General features: G+C 38.3%; 1 protein-coding gene and 1 long non-coding RNA gene across 14 annotated transcripts in view, besides 2 other annotated features; both read right to left on the reverse strand.

Moving 5' to 3' along the window:
* The window catches only part of MAP4K5 (mitogen-activated protein kinase kinase kinase kinase 5), a 142606-nt gene that overhangs the window by 87479 nt on the left and 34610 nt on the right, over positions 1-20517 (reverse strand). The gene's annotated exons all lie outside the window — the stretch shown is intronic.
* Positions 6273-13570, reverse strand: LOC124903312 (uncharacterized). The gene is made up of 2 exons (XR_007064160.1): positions 13530-13570; positions 6273-10193 (listed from the first exon to the last, which is right to left on the reverse strand). It is a non-coding gene; the product is annotated as an uncharacterized LOC124903312 (long non-coding RNA).
* Positions 15721-15780: an enhancer, noted in NCBI's record as "active region_8358". NCBI's record gives its function as "activates an Ori minimal core promoter by ATAC-STARR-seq in GM12878 lymphoblastoid cells {active_cell/tissue: GM12878}" and the evidence as "EXISTENCE:reporter gene assay evidence [ECO:0000049][PMID:35858748]".
* Positions 15907-15956: an enhancer, noted in NCBI's record as "active region_8359". NCBI's record gives its function as "activates an Ori minimal core promoter by ATAC-STARR-seq in GM12878 lymphoblastoid cells {active_cell/tissue: GM12878}" and the evidence as "EXISTENCE:reporter gene assay evidence [ECO:0000049][PMID:35858748]".

The following is a 20517-nucleotide window of genomic DNA, read 5'->3' on the forward strand; positions in this document are numbered from 1 at the left end:
TTTTCATCGTACCCCGTGGTACATCATATGTGGAAATGGAATTTACTAATTTATGACCTTTTTCATTTACTATATTAGATTTGAATATCAACTTTCAAATGGCAGAAAAAAACAAGAAAAAGACATGATAAAATAGAAAAGTATAGTTATACTAATCTGCCAAATTAAATAAATCAAATTTTCTGAGGAAAGAAGAGAAAAAGGGAAAGGAATAGAAGAATGATAAAGTAGGGAAGAGTGCCTTCAAAGAGATCCTTTTAAAAATGACATACAGAGGGTGAGAAAAAGAATAGAATGGGGGAGAGATATACAGAGGAAAAGACACAAACAGAAAGAAAAATAATTTGTCTTTTGTTTGTTTGGTTTTTGTTGTTTTGAGACAGGGTCTCACTTCTGTCACCCAGGATGGAGTGCAGCAACAGGATCTCGGCTCACTGCAGCCTCTGCCTCCTGGGCTCAAGTGATCCTCCCACCTCAGCCTCCCAAGTGGCTGAGACTACAGACACCTGCCACTACACTCAGCTAACTGTTGTACTTTTTGTAGAGACGGGTTTCGCCATGTTGCCCAGGCCGGTCTCAAACTCCTGGGTTCAAGTAATTTGCCCATCTTGGCCTCCTGAAGTGCTGGGATTACAGTGAACCACCAGGCCTGGCAAGAAAATAATTTTCAACAGCAGAAGTTGCAACTACTTTGTGATAAGTTCACATTTTCCTCACTAAATCTACTGAATAGGGTAAGAAGGTGTCTCAGGAAAGAAGAGCAGGCCTTTTAACTCCTCTCTTTCATAGTTATAGTTACTTCTCTCCTAACTACGAACACATTTACAAAAAGGGGAGCAGTGGTCAGCCAGATGCCTCACACCATTCCTACCCTCTCCTCTTTCTGCCATTGGACATAAGAACTGTCTGTTAGCCTCACGTCTTCTTCTAATTCCTAAAATTTCCCTTGGGTCATAAAAGGCTATGTGCACGTAGATTTAGCCTGTCCACCTCTCAGCCAATTCACATGCCAGTGAGACTCAGGTATAAAAAATATGGCCAGAACAAGCAGTGATAATTGACTTCCTGGGCATATTGTTCAGTAAATCATAAAATGTGTTAGAAGATGAATTCCGTAATAATGATGGCAATTATGTTTGTAATGCTTTACAGTTTGCAGGAACTTTCATATACATTACTTAATTCTATTTATTTAAACACAAAAAGACTTAGTTTAGTAAAGCAGACCTGCCCAAGGCCATCCTGCTGCCAGGGGTGAGTCAAGAGTTAGAATCCAATTTTGCTGATCTTTTCAAAAAACCAGCTCCTGGATTCACTGATTTTTTGAAGGGTTTTTTGTGTCTCTATCTCCTTCAGTTCTGCTCTGATCTTAGTTATTTCTTGCCTTCTGCTAGCTTTTGAATGTGTTTGCTCTTGCTTCTCTAGCTCTTTTGTGATGTTAGGGTGTCAACTTTAGATCTTTCCTGCTTTCTTTTGTGGGCATTTAGTGCTATAAATTTCCTTCTATACACTGCTTTAAATGTGTCCCAGAGATTCTGGTATGTTGTGTCTTTGTTCTCATTGGTTTCAAAGAACATCTTTATTTCTGCCTTCATTTCGTTATGTACCCAGTAGTCATTGAGGAGCAGGTTGTTCAGTTTCCATGCAGTTGAGCAGTTTTGAGTGAGTTTCTTAATCCTGAGTTCTAGTTTGATTGCACTGTGGTCTGAGAGACAGTTTGTTATAATTTCTGTACTTTTGCATTTGCTGAGGAGTGCTTTATTTCCAACTATGTGGTCAGTTTTGGAATAAGTGCGATGTGGTGCTCAGAAGAATGTATATTCTGTTGATTTGGGGTGGAGAGTTCTGTAGATGTCTATTGGGTCTGCTTGGTGCAGAGCTGAGTTCAAGTCCTGGATATCCTTGTTAACTTTCTGTCTCGTTGATCTGTCTAATGTTGACAGTAGGGTGTTAAAGTCTCCCATTATTATTGTGCGGGAGTTGAAGTCTCTTTGTAGGTCTCTAAGGACTTGCTTCATGAATCTGGGTGTTCTGTATTGGGTGCATATATATTTAGGATAGTTAGCTCTTCTTGTTGAATTGATCCCTTTACCATTATGTAATGCCCTTCTTTGTCTCTTCTGATTTTTGTTGGTTGAAAGTCTGTTTTATCAGAGACTAGGATTGCAACCCCTGCTTTTTTTTGTTTTCCATTTCCTTGGTAGATTTTCCTCCATCCCTCCATTCCAAAGGATTATAAATCATGCTGCCATAAAGACACATGCACACATATGTTTATTGTGGCACTATTCACAATAGCAAAGACTTGGAACCAACCCAAATGTCCATCAATGATAGACTGGACTAAGAAAATGTGGCACTTACACACAATGGAATACCATGCAGCCATAAAAAGGATGACTTCATGTCCTTTGTAGGGACATGGATGAAGCTGGAAACCATCATTCTGAGCAAACTATCCCAAGGACAGAAAACCAAACACCACATGTTCTCACTCATAGGTGGGAATTGAACAATGAGAACACTTGGACACAGGGTGGAGAACATCACACACTGGGGCCTGTCGTGGGGTGGGGGGAGAGGGGAGGGATAGCATTAGGAGATACACCTAACGTAAATGAAGAGTTAATGGGTGCAGTACACCAACATGGGACATGTATACATATGTAACAAATCTGCATGTTGTGCACATGTACCCTAGAACTTAAAGTATAAAAAAAAAAAGGCAACAACAGATGCTGGTGAGGATGTGGAGAAATAGAAACACTTTGACACTGTTGGTGGGAGTGTAAACTAGTTCAACCATTGTGGAAGACAGTGTGGTGATTCCTCAAGGATCTAGAACTAGAAATACCATTTGACCCAGTGATCCCATTACTGGGTATATACCCAAAGGATTATAAGTTATGCTACTATAAAGACACATGCACATGTATGTTTATTGTGGCACTATTCACAATAGTAAAGACTTGGAACCAACCCAAATGTCCATCAATGATAGACTGGATTAAGAAAATGTGACACATATATACCATCGAATACTATGCAGCCATAAAAAAAGGAAGAGTTCATGTCCTTTGCAGGGACACAGATGAAGCTGGAAACCATCATTCTGAGCAAACTATCACAAGGACAGAAAACCAAACACCACATATTCTCACTCATAGGTGGGAATTGAACAACAAGAACACTTGGACACAGGGCAGGGAACATCACACACAGGGGCCTGTCATGGGGTGGGGGGCAGGGGGAGGGATAGCATTAGGAGAAATACCTAATGTATTCTGATGACAATATTTCACTGCCCCTTTTCAGAATTCGAGAATTCTCTTTTTCTTTTTTAAATGCAACAGATACTAGAGAAAAGTATTAATTGTGTATTATTTAACAGATCAGCAACAGTGGTAACTTTTGTTGAAACAGATTAACAAAATAATCTACTGAAAACAGCTAACAAAGCAATATACTAATCCTCTTTCACATTAAATTTCTCCGTGATAATTTTCAATGTAACAGAAGGTGAACTATTACACATTTAATGTCTTAAAGAAATAATCTTAGAGTTGAATTTGATCCAAAGAAAACAGTAGTATTTTAAACATTTTGAAAAAAATTATCGAATAAAAGTTAGTAGCCTTCTAATATGTTTAAAATCCATCTAAAGAACTGGAATTAAAAAAAAAAAAACAGATTCAATGAACTCTTATTTTAACTCACTTACGTCATAATCTAGCAAACATAATAGCCACTTCTATGCCTAAATGTCAGTACCCTGGTTTTCCCTCTTTCCCTATCCACCTAAGAGATCATTTAAATTGTTTTTTCATTTAAAATTTTCACTGGACTCCTATAGAAAACAGAAAAACATCTTTGAACATACAGTATAAGTTTACAAATTGAGAAGAAAGATTTAAGTATAAGTGCCATAAAGGCACAAGAAAGTTACAAAAGTACACTCACAAATTGTGACGGTTGAAAAATTCAAGATTATACATTTCAGGTAAAGAATACAATGTTCAACTCATATGACAATGACTGATGCTAACACATTTTCAACAACAAAATATCTTCAGGCAATTCATTATGCCAAGCAAAAACAGGCATTTGGGCAATGCATTCTGCCATTCACTGCCACTTACTTTGAGGAACCAAAAGAAAATGACTCCATTCTTCTCGGTTACCAATTATTAAACAAGAGTCAACAACATGAAAAGATCTAATATGCTTCTCTGAGAGTTTGGAACAATTAATTCTGATTTTAGTCAGATTAATCAGAAGTGAATAGCTCGGTCTCTGATCTGAAAACTGTCCTCATTCTGGTACGTTCTCCTTTCCCCGCCTCCCTCCCCGTTTGGCCTGGTTAACTCAGACTCGTCCTTCAGAATTCAGTTTAGTTATCACCTCCTCCAGGAAGTCTCCCTGGTATCCTAAGGCTGGATTAAGTGTGTTGTCATCTTAGCTCTACGCATGATCCTTTGAAAGGCTGTGCCACATGGTAGATGCTCTACAAATTTGTTGAATAGACAATCATGGTTGTAGGAAGGTTATTGCTCTCTTAAAAAAATTAAAATCTTCCACAACTAGAAAATGCTATGAAACTGACAATACATTATTTTAAATAGTCTTACTTTTTTCACTTATGTTGAGTCATATTATGATGAATTAAAGTATTTTGAAGAAAATTATTTGAAAAAAATTACTACAAAAGTAAGATTTTGTGGTAGAAAAATTAAAATAATATAAATCAGTGAAAGATGACAGTCCCTCTCCATCCCAATCTCATCTTCCAAAATAACTATTGTTAATGGTTTAGAGTATATCCTTCCAAACTTTTAATTAGGTTGAGTCCTAAGAACACATATGGACAGAACACAAACCTTGATACTTTGGCAGTTTCTCACAAAGCTAAACATAGTCTTACCTTATGAGCCAGCCAGCAACCCCACTCCTTGGCATGTACCCAACTGAGCTAAAAAGTTATGTCCACATAAAAACCTATACATAAGTGTTTAAAGCAGTCTTTATTCACAGTCACCCAAAACTGGAAGTAATCAAGATGTCCTCCAATAGGTGAATACATAAACAAACTGTGGTAAATCCATACAGTGGAATGTTTATTGCAGCACTATTCACGACAGCCAAGACACAGAATGAACCTGGGTGTCCAACAATGATAAATAAAGAAAATCTGATTATATATGCTCAAAATGGAATACTATTTAGCCACAAAAAAGAATGAAATGCTGCCATTTGAGGAAACTTGGATGGAATGGAGGATATTCTGTTAAGTGAAATTGGCCAGGAACAGAAAGTTAACCATCACATGTTCTCACTCACATGTGGAAGCTAAAAAAAGTTAATCTCATAAAAGTAAAAAGTAGAACAGAGAATACTAGAGGCTGAGAAGGGTAGGGGGAAGGGAGGAATAGGGAGAAATTTGTTAAAGTATACAAAACGATAGCTAGATAGGAAGAATAAATTTTAGTGTTCTATACTACTACTACAGGATAGCTATAGTTAACAATAATATATTACATAGTTTCAAATAGCCAGGAAAATACCAAATGTTCCCAACACAAAGAAAGGATAATGTTTAAGATTATAGATTTGCTAATTTTCCTGATCACTACAAATTTTATGTATCGAAACATCACTATGAGTCACTATGAATCTTACCCATATGTACAACTGTCAATTTTTTTAAATTAAATTTAATAATAGAAGAAATGGAAACCACAAAAAGATACGGAAGAATCCTAAATGCATATTGTTAAGTGAAAGAAGCCAGTCTAAGAAGGCTTACAAAGTGTATGATTCCAACTCTATGACATTCCGAAAAAGGCAAAACTACAGAGACAGTAAAAAGCAATGGTTGTCTGGGGTTTAGGGGAGGAAGGAAAGAGACAAATAGGTGAAGCACAGGGGATTTTTAGGAGAGTGAAAGTATTCTGTATGAAATGGTAATGATAGACACATCTCATTACATATTTGTCAAAACCCATAGAACTATACAACACAAAATGTGAATCTTTAGGTAAACTATGAACTATAGTTAATAATATATCAATATTGGTTCAATAATTATAACAAATGTACCACACTAACGCAAGATGTTAATAAAAGACAAAACTATACAGGAATTCAGGGGTTGGCTAAATGTAATTCTATGTACTATGTGCTTTATTACTCTGTAAATCTAAAACTGCACTAAAAAATTGTCTATTAATTTAAAGATAAATTATTTTTGAAAAGAATACACATTTTCAGACACATTTATGAGCCAATTTTTATTATTAGAATCAACCATTTATGTTTCAATTTAATAGAGCCAAAAAGAAAAGGAAGGATACCTTGATTTTTTTAGAGATTCTGAGGGGCTCAGAAACAGATCATTGGAGGATTTGAACAACAATCACAAAATGACATAAAATAAAGATGGTGTTTTACAGTTACACCACGCAGAAGCCAAGATATATTATATGTGGTTACAGAAGTAAAATGCAAAAAATACAAACTACAGCTCCCGCTGATAGGAATAAATACTTAAATGTCAGCCTCCATTTTGAAGACATATTTCTGTTTTCTCCAAATGAAGAACCGATGGGCAAATGTTTGTGCTCTGTAATTTTCCAGCTGGATTTTTAAAACAGAGAGCAGTACCAGGCTCTTTTATAATGAAAGGCAAAGAGGCTTTCAGAAAAAGAGATCTTCTAAACAGAGACCTTACAGATTCAATTTACTAAAGAGATCTTTCAGAAATTTAACTATACAAATTCGCGCTATAATCCAAAAGAGTTTTGGAGTACCAGTTTTTGAAATCCACCATTTCTTTCCAACAAGTTAAATGTGATACTCTCAATTCTTTTTGTTTTTAACTTTAATACACAAGAATTGAAAGATCCTGCATTATGTTTATAAAAGGAACTAACTGGAGTACAACGGCAACTACACAAAAAAGATCTAACTATATTTCTGATTCCTATTCATGTTAGTAGGGTTTTGGTATACACTAATACTCAGACTTAAGATATACTAAACACCTAGAAATCTAATAAAACAGTACAGTTACAGGTCTTATTTAACTCTTATTAATCAGGAACTGAAATTATTATGTGGAAAAGATAAACTCATAATGAATGGAATCAATATCACTATAAAATCCACAATAGAATCATTCCAATTAAATTAATTTTCTATTCGCATTGCTAATGCAATTCCTTTTCATCTCTTAATTCATATTTCCAAGTCAATTTACTACTAAGGAAGTATTTCAACTCAAGCCCTCCAGTCTTCAATCTTACTAATAGTAAAAAGTTACCTATGGATTTCCACTTAAACAAACAAAAAAAATTGAAAGATGTTAATTAAGCCATTTCTACTTCAGTAATATTATGCAATTGCCAGTTTTGTAAACTATGAACTCTTCTACATACTGTAAAATTTTTAATGAAAACTAAAAGTTAATGAAGAAAAGTCTAAACATTTTACCTACAAGGTTTCAACACAGAATTGGAAGACACGAATCAATACATAGTAATACATCCTAGTATTCATGAAGTTGAAAGATAATTTTTTATAAACTGGGGCTAAAAAAAAAAAAACCAGCAAGTAAGGACAGCCATCTAAAAGCTATGGCAACCAAGACCATCACCATGAAGAAAAATGAAAAAGCTCCTGTATTTCTCTGTTCTTCACATTGGGTCTCTCATCCTACCCCAGACAACTTTCTCCCAGCACATTCTTAGGGTCACAAAACTTTTCCATTAAGCCAACTGTGGACTTCAGTTTTAAATATGCCCCTTTATTCTATAACATAACATCAGAAAATCCAGACATCTCAATATTTTTAACAAGCTATCTCCAGTGGCCAGTGACTGCTTCTCAGAGTCATAATTATGTATTCCAGATTTAAGAACATGATCTACAATACAAAAGAAGCAACGCAGCACCCATAAGGTTTGAAAAATACAAAGTAGCTGATTAATCCACAATAAAAGTGAAAAGTCAACTATGTCATAGGCTGTAAAACCTCTATACTCAATACTTTATGGAACATTGCTTTCTCTGTTATTGTTTTGTTTTGTTTTTGTTTTTTTGAGGCCGAGTCTTGCTCTGTCACCCAGGCTGGAGCACAGTGGTGTGATCTCAGCTCACTGCAGCCTCCACCTCCCAGGCTCAAGCAATTCTCGTGCCTCAGCCTCCTGAGTAGCCGGGACTAAGGCAGGCACCACCAGGCCTGGCTAATTTTTTTTTTTGTATTTTTAGTAGAGAGAGGGTATCACCACATTGGCCAGGATGGTCTCAAATTCCTTACCTCAAGTAATCTACCCACCTCATCCTCCCAAAGTGCTGGGATTACAGGCGTGAGCCACTAGTCCCGGCTGAAACACTGTTTTTAACTGGTTCATTTATTCAACAAACATTACTTAATACTTACTATGTGCCAGGTACGGTGTTAATACTAGGAATGTAATGAAACAAAAACAGTTCCTGTCTTCCGAAAACTTTTATCAGTTAGAAAGACAGAAAAGGGAAGAGTAAATACTACAGAGTGTGAAAAATGCTCTCATAGATGACACAAGTCAACATTGGAGGATTCTGAGCCCAGTCAAACTAGATTGAAGAAAAAGCTTCCAGGAGAAAGTAAATTTAAACTGAGACCTAATAGAAGACTTTCCTGGGAGGAGTGGTGGGTAAGAGATTATGGATAGCAAAATTCCAGGCAAAGGTGTAAAGACAAGAGAAAACATGGGCAGTCTAAAAGAGCAAAACTACCTTGCATTAAGGGAATATAAAGATATAAAGAGGGAATGGTGAAAGTTAAGATTCCTTTGATGCTCAGGACAGAATGTATCACCGCCTATCTTCCTGTAGCTATCATATACTAACTTCTTGGTCATCCTTATTCTTTTTTTTTTTTTTGAGATGGAGTCTCGCTCTGTCGCCCAGGCTGGAGTACAGTGGCGTAATCTTGGCTCACTGCAGCCTCTGCCTCCCAGGTTCAAGTAATTCTCTCGCTTCAGCCTCCCGAGTAGCTGGGACTACAGGCACTCGCCGCCACGCTAGGCTAATTTTTGTATTTTTAGTACAGACGAGGTTTCACCATGTTGGCCAGGATGGTCTCGATCTCCTGACCTTGTGATCTGCCCGCCTTGGCCTCCCAAAGTGCTGGGATTACAGGCGTGAGCCATTGTGCCTAGCCAGTCATCCTTATTCTTTTAAGATTTTATGACCCCTGGTTCACAGTTTCCTCTCTATCCTTTCTCTTGCCTCCACCACTCTTAGTGACTTCAATATCCGGAACTACTCTGACTTTTCATTCTCTGACCTAATTAACATTATACTTCCTTTCTAATCACTATCTCCTATCCTTTCAGCTCACTTATTCTAGTCCTCCCATTCCAGCCATTCTCCCACCTCATCAATTTGCCAATGCATTTCTCCATGACCACCAATTATTTCTCTCAACTCCATACATCCTCCCTTACCTATCAGGATTAAACTTCCTCTTCCCTCTATTGTACTAGCCTGGCAAAATCCTAATCTTGATTAATTCCAATTATCCACTAATCCCACACTGGCATCAAATAGCTAACAGTTACTAGAAAAAAAATGACAAAATCATGCTAACTGGTCTTACTTTCAAATCAACACAAATCCCAAACTACAACTTCTTGTATAGGTTTTATTTTCCACTTTTTATAAGAACTATTCCACTCCTCTTGCTTCAAACTTTCAATGATCCCTCAGCCTCTTTGTTAACCCCTCTTCTCTCACCTATCCTAACTGATCATGGAACTGCATCTTTTCTTTATCTAACATTCACCTATGCAGCCAACCATCTATTTCTAGGGCACATCTCTCTCCTCACTTTGCTCCAGACTCCTACATCCATGGAAACCTGACAGGCACCTTAACATTAATGTGTCTAACACAGAACACTCGATTATCCCTCTCCCACAAACTTTTTCATTCCCACATCTTCCTAATCTAAATCAAATTTACCGTATCCACCACACTCACTTAAGCCCAAAATCCAGGTCATTCTTTATTTCTTTCCTTCACACTCTTCACATCTGACATATCAGCAAATCCTGACAGCTTAAACTTATAAGCCAAATCCACACACTTTCTTCTATTTCCAGTGCCATACTGTAATCCAAGCTTGTCTCCATTAGGAACTGGTAAACTATCTGTGAAACATAAAGAAATAGCAAGTCAAGAATAATTCCTGTTCTGGATTGCACAATTGGGTAGACAGTGGTCCCATTTACTGAGATGACAAACATAGGAGGAAGCACACATTCTGTGGCGGGGAGAGGGATACAGATGGGGGCTCAGTTTTGGACATACTTAAAATTTTAACTTGCTATGGAAAACCAATCTAGTGATATCCTATAAGCTGCTTAACAAGAGCTAACCTGGACTGAAAACAGAGTTGGGCATCACCAACATTACTGAACGCAGGCAGGTGGATGAGATTACTTAGAATAAGTAGTCAGAAGAAAAGAGGATCAAGAACAGAATCCTAAAAAATTAGCCACACTTATGGAATAGTGAAAATAGACAAAGTTAAAATGAAACTATTACAGAGACACTATTCTCTGGAATCTCAGTTTGCAGGAATTTTTTTAAAGTCATCCAATCCAATCTCTCTTTTAAAGAGCACATCTCTTCTACTTAATCTATGGTGGTCTAATACATTCATTTTTAGTATAACTGTAGTTGTATAAAGGCTTTTCTGCGATAAGCAAATATATTCTCCAATAATTTCTCTTCAGTGGTCCCAGTTTTGGTTTGTAAGATAACACTGACTTAACCTACTCCTTCTACTATATGACAAATTCAGATCTCTAAATTCATTAATTTATTCAATAAGTATTGAGTCCCTATGAAAGTCAGGAGGCCTAAGCTCTAATTCTAACTCTGCTCAGATAAAAATATAAGTTTGCTTCTACCTACAGACAAAACACAAATTTTTCAATATGCCATGCCATATAAATTCTAGACCCTTCCCACCAGTCTAGTTATTATTTACTTTGATTATGTGCTCAAAGTTTGATGTCCAACAAAAATGATAGTAGTTATAACATTAGATTCATGACAACAAAGGCAACATTTCTTTTTTTCAGGTTTCTACAAAATTACAATACTTTTTTTTTTTTTTTTTAAGACAGAGTCTCACTCTGTCACCCAGGCTGGAGTGCAGTGGCGTGATCTCCGCCCACTGCAACTTCTGCCTCCTGGGTTGAAGCAATTCTCCTGCCTCAGGCCCTAGAGTAGCTGGGAGTACAGGCACGTGCCACCACGCCCAGCTAATTTTTGTATTTTTAGTGGAGACGGGGTTTCACCATGTTGGCCAGGCTGGTCTCGAACTCCTGACCTCAGGTGATTCGCTCACCTCGGCCTCCCAAAGTGCTGGGATTACAGGAATGAGCCACCGCGCCCAGCCTACAATATTTTTAAGTTTTAAAAATAAATGTTGAGGCTGGGCATGGTGGCTTACACTTGTAATCTCAGCACTTTGGGAGGCCGAGGTGGGTGGATAACTTGAGGTCGGGAGTTCAAGACCATCCTGGTCAACATGGTGAAATCCTGTCTCTACTAAAAATACAAAAATTAGCAGGGCATGATGGGTGGGCACCTGTAGTTCCAGCTACGCAGGAGGCTGTGGCAGGAGAATTGCTTCAACCCGGGAGGCGGAGGTTGCAGTGGTTGCAGTAAGCCAAGATACCGCCACTGCACTCCAGCCTGGGCGACAGTGAAACTCCGTCTCAAAAAATAAAACAAAAAATAAACGTTGAAAGTGTTCGATCCAAAACAGAATGCAATATTTTATCCTCTGACAAGAGTAAAGAAAGTGCTTCATTTTACTTTTATTATAAATCATTTTGGGAAAAAGAAAGGCTTTAATCACTACATATATTAGTCATACATCAATTTAACATTTATTCACTGAGCACCTCTGAAGCATCAGGTACCTCAGATACAAGGATAATATTAGTAGAGTAACAGCAAGGAATTACTAAGATGAATAAAAATATCTGTACCTGCCCTGAGTTTCAATGGGGCAGATTTTAGATCCATATAAGAAAGTTTTCTCTAGCAATTAAAACGTCCAAAAAAAAGACCAACTACTTCCAAACACAGTATATCCTTATTATTTAAATAAGAAGTTATAAATGACCATTTGTAAAGGACAAGGTAGGGGTTATATGCACTATGTGCCAGCCACAGGTTCCCTGCTAGCTCCTAAACTCATTAATTTTTTTTTTATTTTTACTTTAAGTTACAGGATACATGTGCAGAAGAATGTGCAGGTTTGTTACATAGGTATATGTGTGCCATGGTGGTTTGCTGCACCTATCGACCTGTCCTCTAAGTTACTTCTCCTCACCCCCCACCACCAACAAGCCCTAGTGTGTATTATTCCCCTCCCTGTGTCCCTGTGTTCTCACTGTTCAACTCCCACTTATAAGCGAGAACATGCGGTGCAAAACTCCTTAATTTTTGTGGAGCAAGTTACTTCCAGGCTGGCTTCCACACAATTATACAGGTCTGGACAGGTGCTTCCTATCCCATGGAAGGAGGCTATACTGCACAATTTCCCCACTCCCAGGCAGACAGATTCAGAGCCTAAAGCCTTCCCTTAGAATGACCCAAAATCTGTTCACATGACTTCAATCTCAGGTCTTCCGCCCAATCTATTAGGATACTCATCTGTCTCTGAAAAGGTTTCTCCCAACTCTTTTCTAACACAGACTGATTTTATTAAAAGAAGAATTACTTACAGAGGATTACTTAAATTGAACTAATTATCTGGAGGTCTTAATGGCAAAGGAAAGGGAGGAAAGGGCTTGAGTTTCAGGGTAGGGAAGATGTGAACTCTCAGTCATTGTTGATGGGTGCAAATTTTTTTGGAGAATAATTGGTTAAAATTCACCAAAACCTTTAAGACAATTTAGGAAATTTAGCTCTAGAAATTTATTTAAAGAAATAATTAAGATTGTGTGAAAAAAATCTGTTCAAGGATACTGATCCCAGCATTATTTACAATAAAGAAATATTGGAGACAATTGCTTGTATGTTTGTATATAATGAACTAAAAATTATATAACTATACAAGAAAATAATACACAAGTATTAAATATGTATATTTACTGACAAAAAGTTGTTATATATTGTTAAATTTAAAAGCACGTTATCAAATATACATCTATATAATATATACTGTATATTATTATACATATCTATTCTATGATTTATACGTATGTCCTTAATATGAATTTTTAAAAGTTGGGAATGTTTATCTCTTGGTAAAGGAGACACAAGTAATTTTTCATTCCTATATAGTTTTAAAAATGAACATGTATCACCAGGTACAGTGGCTCATGCCTGTAATCCCAGCACTTCGGGAGGTCAAGAAGGGCAGATCACCTGAGGTCAGGAGTTTGAGACAAGCCTGGCCAACACGGTGAAACCCTGTCTCTATAAAAATACAAAAATTAGTCAAGTGTGGTGGCACGCACCTGTAGTCCCAGCTACTCGGGAGACTGAAGCAGGAGAATTGCTTGAACCTGGGAGGCGGAGGTTGTAATGAGTCGAGATTGTGCCACTGTACTCCAGCCTGGGCGACAAAGTGAGACTCCATCTCAAAAAATAAATAAAATAAATAAAAATAAAAATAAAAAATGAACATGTATCACTTAAAATGTATTTTGAAAATAAAAAGGTAGGTAAAAGAAGGCTATCTATGCCAAGGCAAGAAGAGAGAGACAAACATATAGGAAGGTGAGTCCTACCTGTAGATCTTTACTACTACATTAAGAATAACAGGAAACAATTCCTGGAAAAAACTGGTAAAGGACCCAAACATCTCTAGCATGTATTACAATGAAGAACCAAAGCTGAAAATGCAAAACTAGTTCCTTAAAAGATGTCTTTAAAAATATATTAAGTTACACCTGATTCTTTCTGATTTGGATACATGAAGAGTTAATAAGGGGGTCAAGAAGGCACGGGGCACCAACAAAGGGATGCATGCATGTGAGAAATAACACATTATTTCATAAGACAAAGCTGGGGCTGGGCGTGGTGGCTCACACCTGTAATCCTAGGACTTTGGGAGGCCGAGGCGGGTGGATCACGAGGTCAGGAGCTCAAGACCAGCTTGGCCAACATAGTGAAACCCTGTCTCTATTAAAAATACAAAAATTTGGCCGGGCGTGGTGGCTCACGCCTGTAATCCTAGCACTTTAGGAGGCCAAGGTGGACACATCACCTGAGGTCGGTAGTTCAAGACCAGCCTGGGCAACATGGTGAAACCCCATCTCTACTAAAATAAAAAAGAAATTAGTCGGGCATGGCAGCGTGCGCCTGTAGTCCCATCTACTCAGGAGGCTGTGGCAGAAGAATTGCTTGAACCCGGGAGGCGAAGGTAGTAGTGAGCCGAGATCATGGCACTGCATTCCAGCCTGGGCGACAGAGCAAGACTCTGTCTCAAAAAAAGACAAAGCTGGAAGTCACAATCCTTCTCAGGCAGTCCTAATTATCCTAAATCAGAAAGAAGCAAACAAAACTAGCTAATGCTACTTAAGGCAGGTTATTCTATCTGCCTGAAATCATTCACATTTTATAATTTATAACAGCATTACAGAGCCTAGTTTATAGGACTCAGTTAATTAACAATAAACATAAATATAAAGTTCCAACAAAATGAGGACAAGAGAAGGCACAGCAGGAAGAATATGCAGCAACCAAAAACGGGACCGTTTCTGGTTTTAGTTATTTGTATTGTAAGGTGGCTATCGGCAAAGTCATCTTTTTTTTTTTTTTTTTTTGAGATGGAGTTTCACTCTTGTTGCCCAGGCTGGAGTGCAGTGGCGCGATCTTTGCCCACCGCAACCTCCACCTCCCAGTTCAAGTGATTCTCCCACTTCCAGCCTCCCAAGTAGTTGGGAATACAGGCTTCCACCACCACACCCAGCTAATTTTTGTATTTTTCGTAGACAGGGTTTCAACATGTTGGCCAGGCTGGTCTCAAACTCCTGACCTCAGGTGATCCACCCACCTTGGCCTTCCAAAGTGCTGGGATTATAGGTGTGAGCCACCACACCCGGGCAAAGTCATTTTGATAGTAAAGGTAAATCAAGCCTGGGCTCTGAATGGAAACATGAGGGTCAGAGTAATGACCAAGTGATAACCAGGAAGAAGTGCATCTGAAAACTGGTGCTGAGACCTAAAGTTTTACGTATTGAAATCAGTCCATAAATCCCTCATTTCTCAGTAGAGGGGTAAGGCTTCTAAGCCTCATCTGACCATAATATGTATAGTGCCTACAGCATGGCAGACAATGTGTTAAGGACTATGTGTAGAGTAGTGAATTTAAAGATGCAGTCCTAAGGTGGCTTGGAATAATGGAAAGAGCAGAGACTGGAATCAGAAGATCTAGATTCAAGTCCTTACAGTGCCATCTACTAACAGTAAGATTGAGGGTAACAGTAAGTTTCTTCTTGGGTAAAATAGGGATGATAGCACATCTGTTCCACCTACTTCACTAGATTATCGTGTGAAACAAATCACACACTGATCATGAGAGTGTTATACAAACATTAGTCATTCTTAGTCATTTTAATCCAATTTCATTTTCATAAATATGTTGGAAGGCGGGGGCCAGTATGACTCACTAGCCCAAACACCTCCAAGGACAGATCTGACTATCAGCTGGGCTTCCCACATCATCATCTCAAAATCTCCATGAGAGATTATATTTAACAGAAATAAAATTATATTAGGCCTAAATTCATCTTGTCCTTCTCAGAGAGTCATCTACCCTCTCAAACTTGACTAGTACTTCACGTCACTGGAAAGCAATAGCCTTCTAATAAAACTCTCCATATACAAATACTCAAAATAGTCCAATACCACCAAGTGAATTCATTTATCTTAGTCAAAGTTCTCAAACTGACAACAAAGCCCCAAAAACACAAGTATTGCTTGTTAATAGAGTTCATGTTTTTCTTTCTGTGTTCTTGGTCTGAAACCACAATGTTAGTTTACAAGTGAAACCCTTTTAAATTTTGAAAGCAAAACTAAAAAAAGAAATCTAAGTCAATCTGTATTCTATCCCATTTGTCTTCATAAAATACACTGGAAATGAAGATCAAAGTGAAAATGCTAAACCTATGTAAACAAAGAACTAGAATACTAGATGAATAAGCCCAAGGTTGCAGCTGTATCCACAAGTCAATCTGGGGACTACACTAGTGATGCATTGCTATACTTGCACTAGTGACGGCACTGTTTTATGTCTATCTTCACCAAGTTGAAAGTACTTTTTACTTCTTTTACAGTTTTCATAACATGTATTTTGCTCCCAGGTATGGTTCAGAGCTTCACATTCATCATTAGAACCATATTTTCTCTTTAGGCAGTCACAAAATAAGCCTACCTCTGAACAGTAAGAAAAATAAATAATAAGATTTTACCCAGATGACTTTTAAAATAGTAAATATCCACAACAGTAGCACATCATCCCAATAAAACATGTTTTATTTTCGCAGTGACCTTATACAACATTTAACATAACATTTATTTAATAAGAAATATAATTTAAAGTTTTTGAAGGACAATCCTTCCTCTCTTATTTTCTACTGTTAAGCTATTTTTCCAAGTTATTCACTCTCTCACTCAAATATGAAAACCAAGAGTCTCTCATAATGTCAGACACAGGACACAAAAAGGACAGTATATTCATATAGTTCAGCTGTGTTACTATCAAAAAATAAGAAAGTAGGTGATGTTTTGATATCAAATGTCAGAGAAATAACATCACATACATCTATTTTTTATTACCTTCAGATTTTTAGGCATTGGACTAGACTCTTAATATTTAAAGATCAAAGTATACTGGTGGAGAGAAGACATAAGAAACAGCTACATTTTCTTTGCTTACAAATTCATGCTTAAAAAAATAACATAAGACTTGGTAACCTACAACCAACTGCTGAACTTAATTAAAAATCACAATGGGCTGGGCGCAGTGGCTCACACCTGTAATCCCAGCACTTTGGGAGGCTGAGGCGGGTGGATCACCTGAGGTCGGGAGTTCGAGACCAGCCTGACCAACATGGAGACATCCCATCTCTACTAAAAATACAAAATTAGCCGGGCGTGGTGGCCCATGCCTGTAATCCCAGCTACTAGGGAGGCTGAGGCAGGAGAATCGCTTGAACCTGGGAGGTGGAGGTTGCGGTGAGCTGAGATCACACCATTGCACTCCAGCCTGGGCAACAAGAGCGAAACTCTGTCTCAAAAAAAAAAATCATAAATAAATAAAAATCACAATGACCTGTGGTCCTGCACCAGTCAATAAGGCATGGTGATGGCCATGCTTGTGTCTTAGATAATATGCCTGCCCCTAAGCTTAGAATTCAGCTACAGACACAGGTTCCGGTGACTCAATAAGAAAGAGATTTAAGACTTCCTTTGATTACCCAGTTATCCACTTGGTTAACTCCCTAATGCCCTTCAAGTCTGTTCAAATCTAACCTTTTCAATGAGGCCTACCCTGACCATCCTTATATAATTCCCCAACCTGCCTTCTTCACTCCATTCAGGCATTCCTGATCCTCCTTAACCATTCAACCTTTTCTTCTTTCTATACCTTTAATCTCCTTGTAACGTATTATACAATGTGTTTATTATGTTTGTTGTCTCTCTCCCCCCACTAAAATTTGAGTTCCATGAGGGGAGGAATCTTTGTCCGCTTTGTTCACTAGATGTATCACAAGGCACCACAACAGTGTCTGCCCCATAGGAGGCCTTCTATAAGTATTTGTTGAATGTTAAATACTCCTTTGCATCCTGTCCTCCCAGTTCTCCATCCCAGCTCCCATTCATTAACATGCCTCACTCTAACCATGCTCGCAGTGGAACAACTAGGACTGGAAATAAACAAACAAGGCTCCAGATCAGAAAGGGAGGGAGGTTTTTACATTTATCCCCTACTCTAGTCCCTAAAAATCCATCCTATGTTTTTTCCTTTTATCTGCTTTCTGAATTCTCAATTCCTCCCAAATTCTTTGTCTTGATTTCCTTCTCTGTAGAATTCCATCTCTAAACTCAGCAATCGTCTTAGACACTTGGGTGATACGACAAACTTAAAGAATGGTAACTGAATGCTGTAATCACTCAGTCTTGATGAAAGTAAAACCCTGAAACAAGAAGAAACATTTGTGTGCCTCATTTCTCTTTCCTGTCATAGCTAAGCTGCTTCAGAGAGCAGGCTACATTCCCTCTACTTCCTCACTTACCAATCATACCTCAACTCTACTCTTAATGAACCCTTCCAACTCCTTGCTTACATGACCACTATGCTGCTTACTCCTTCAAGGCATATTTATTGACCACATACTATATACTAGGCAATATACTAGTACAGGTGTTTCAACAGTAAACATAAGATCTCTGTTCTCATGCAGTTTTAGTCTACCAGGAAGACAAGCAAAAATGAGAAGTGATAAATGATGAGTATCATGATAAAAAATGTACATGGAGCTTTGAAAACATACAGCTGCTAGGTGTGACCTACTCTAAGGGACAGAAAAGCCCCCCCACCGAGAAATGTAATGTTTAAACAGAAACCCAAAGAGTAGGCGATAAGATGGAAGAGAAAGAGTGTTCTAAAGGAATACCTGCAAAAATCTGAAAGACAGAGAGTAGAGTGCATATAAAGAACTGAAAGTTCAGTATGGATACGGTATTGGGATAAGCAGGGCCTTAACAGGAATATTATTCTAAGACTTTATTCTACAGACAAAGGAAATAAAGGAGAAATGACACAAAACTTCAGATTTATATTTTTTGGAGAATGAATTCATCTTCCTCATTGCAGTTAGAGCAAACAGGAACAAGAATGGAGGCAGCTGATGATAGAGATCATCTCTTGAAACTTTTCGTTCCTATGAAAAGAACTTCCTCATACCGCTTTGTTTCTTCTCAGACACCTTCAATATATTATTTTTCTCTGCCACCCCTCTAAGGCTACAGCCTTTCCTCAGCTCTCCTACAAACTCTCCTGGGTGACCTCACCTATATTTCACAGGTACCACCCCATAAAGTGATGATGACTCCCAAACCTGTATCCCCAGTCCAGAACTCTCAAGGCCAGAGGTGCATTTCCTACCACCTACCAGACACATTCACCTATGCAATGCCTTATGTTCAAAACCAAACACAAAATCCAGACTCCACATATTTGGTATTTCCTAACTCTGTTGATAGCATCAATGTAGTCACTCAAGCCAGAAATTCTAAATGCCATCAATTACCCTTCTCCTCCTGCCCCTCACCGATTACCAGGTGTTTTTGATCATCTTCTAAATATGACTCAAATCCATCCCTTCCTTTCATCTTCTATACCAGGGCCTAAATTTAGTCTTGCATAAACTCTCATCCGGATTATTCGGGAACTGGTCTCTACATTTCTAGCCACTTTGTAAAATCCTTACACTACACTGTAAGATATTTCCTCCTAAAAAGTGTTTCTCTAGTCCGGGCACAGTGTACTCACACCCTAAAATCCCAGCACTTTGGGAGGCAGAGGTGGATGGATTGCTTGAGCCTCCGAGTTCAAGACCAGCCTGGGCAACATGGCGAAACCCCACCTTTACAAAAAAATAAAATAAAATACAGAAATTAACTGGGCATGGCAGTGTGTGCCAGTCCCAGCTACTCAGGAGGCTGAAGTGGGAGGATCACTTGAGCCTGGGAGGCGGAGGGTCTAGTGAGCTGAGATCATGCCACTACACTGCAGCCTAAGTGAAAAAGTAAGACCCTGTCTCAAAAAAATAAAAATAAATAATTGAAAAGGTCCAAATTCTTTGATATGACACATGGAGTCCATTAGCTGGTGTTTCCTGCCAGAAAATAGCCTCTATTCTCCATCTATAAAATAATAAAAATAAATAATTGAAATGACATCTCTGCCAGATGTCACACTGAACCTGGAATGAATACAGATGCAGATCTCTCAAAACTCATCACGGCTTCTCAAGCCTCCAGGTGTTTGCACATACTATACCCAAAGCCTGGAATATCTTTTCCTATCTTCTCTACCTAGAAACCACTGGTCTTCTTTTAAAAATCCAGTTAATGTTCCTTCCTCTGTTAATCTTCCTTGGTTCACACTCCTCTCTCTCCCTTCCTTCATCCCCAATAAAGGCAGAGTTTGGCATTTCTTCCACTTCTCCTCTATGGCACATAATTTTCTACCAAATTATGACTGCTTACATGTCTGCTTTCTTTTTTCTTTTTTGAGATGGAGTTTTGCTTTTGTTGCCCAGGCTGGAGTGAAGTGGCGCAATCTCAGCTCACTGCAACCTCCGACCCCCGGGTTCAACCAATTCTCTTGCCTCTCCCAAGTAGCTGGGATTATAGGCACCTGCCACCATGCCCGGCTAATTTTTGTATTTTTAATAGAGATGGGGTTTTGCCATGTTGGCCAGGCTGGTCTCA

This window comes from Homo sapiens, chromosome 14 (genome assembly GCF_000001405.40).
Source record: "Homo sapiens chromosome 14, GRCh38.p14 Primary Assembly".
Taxonomy (NCBI): domain Eukaryota; kingdom Metazoa; phylum Chordata; class Mammalia; order Primates; family Hominidae; genus Homo; species Homo sapiens.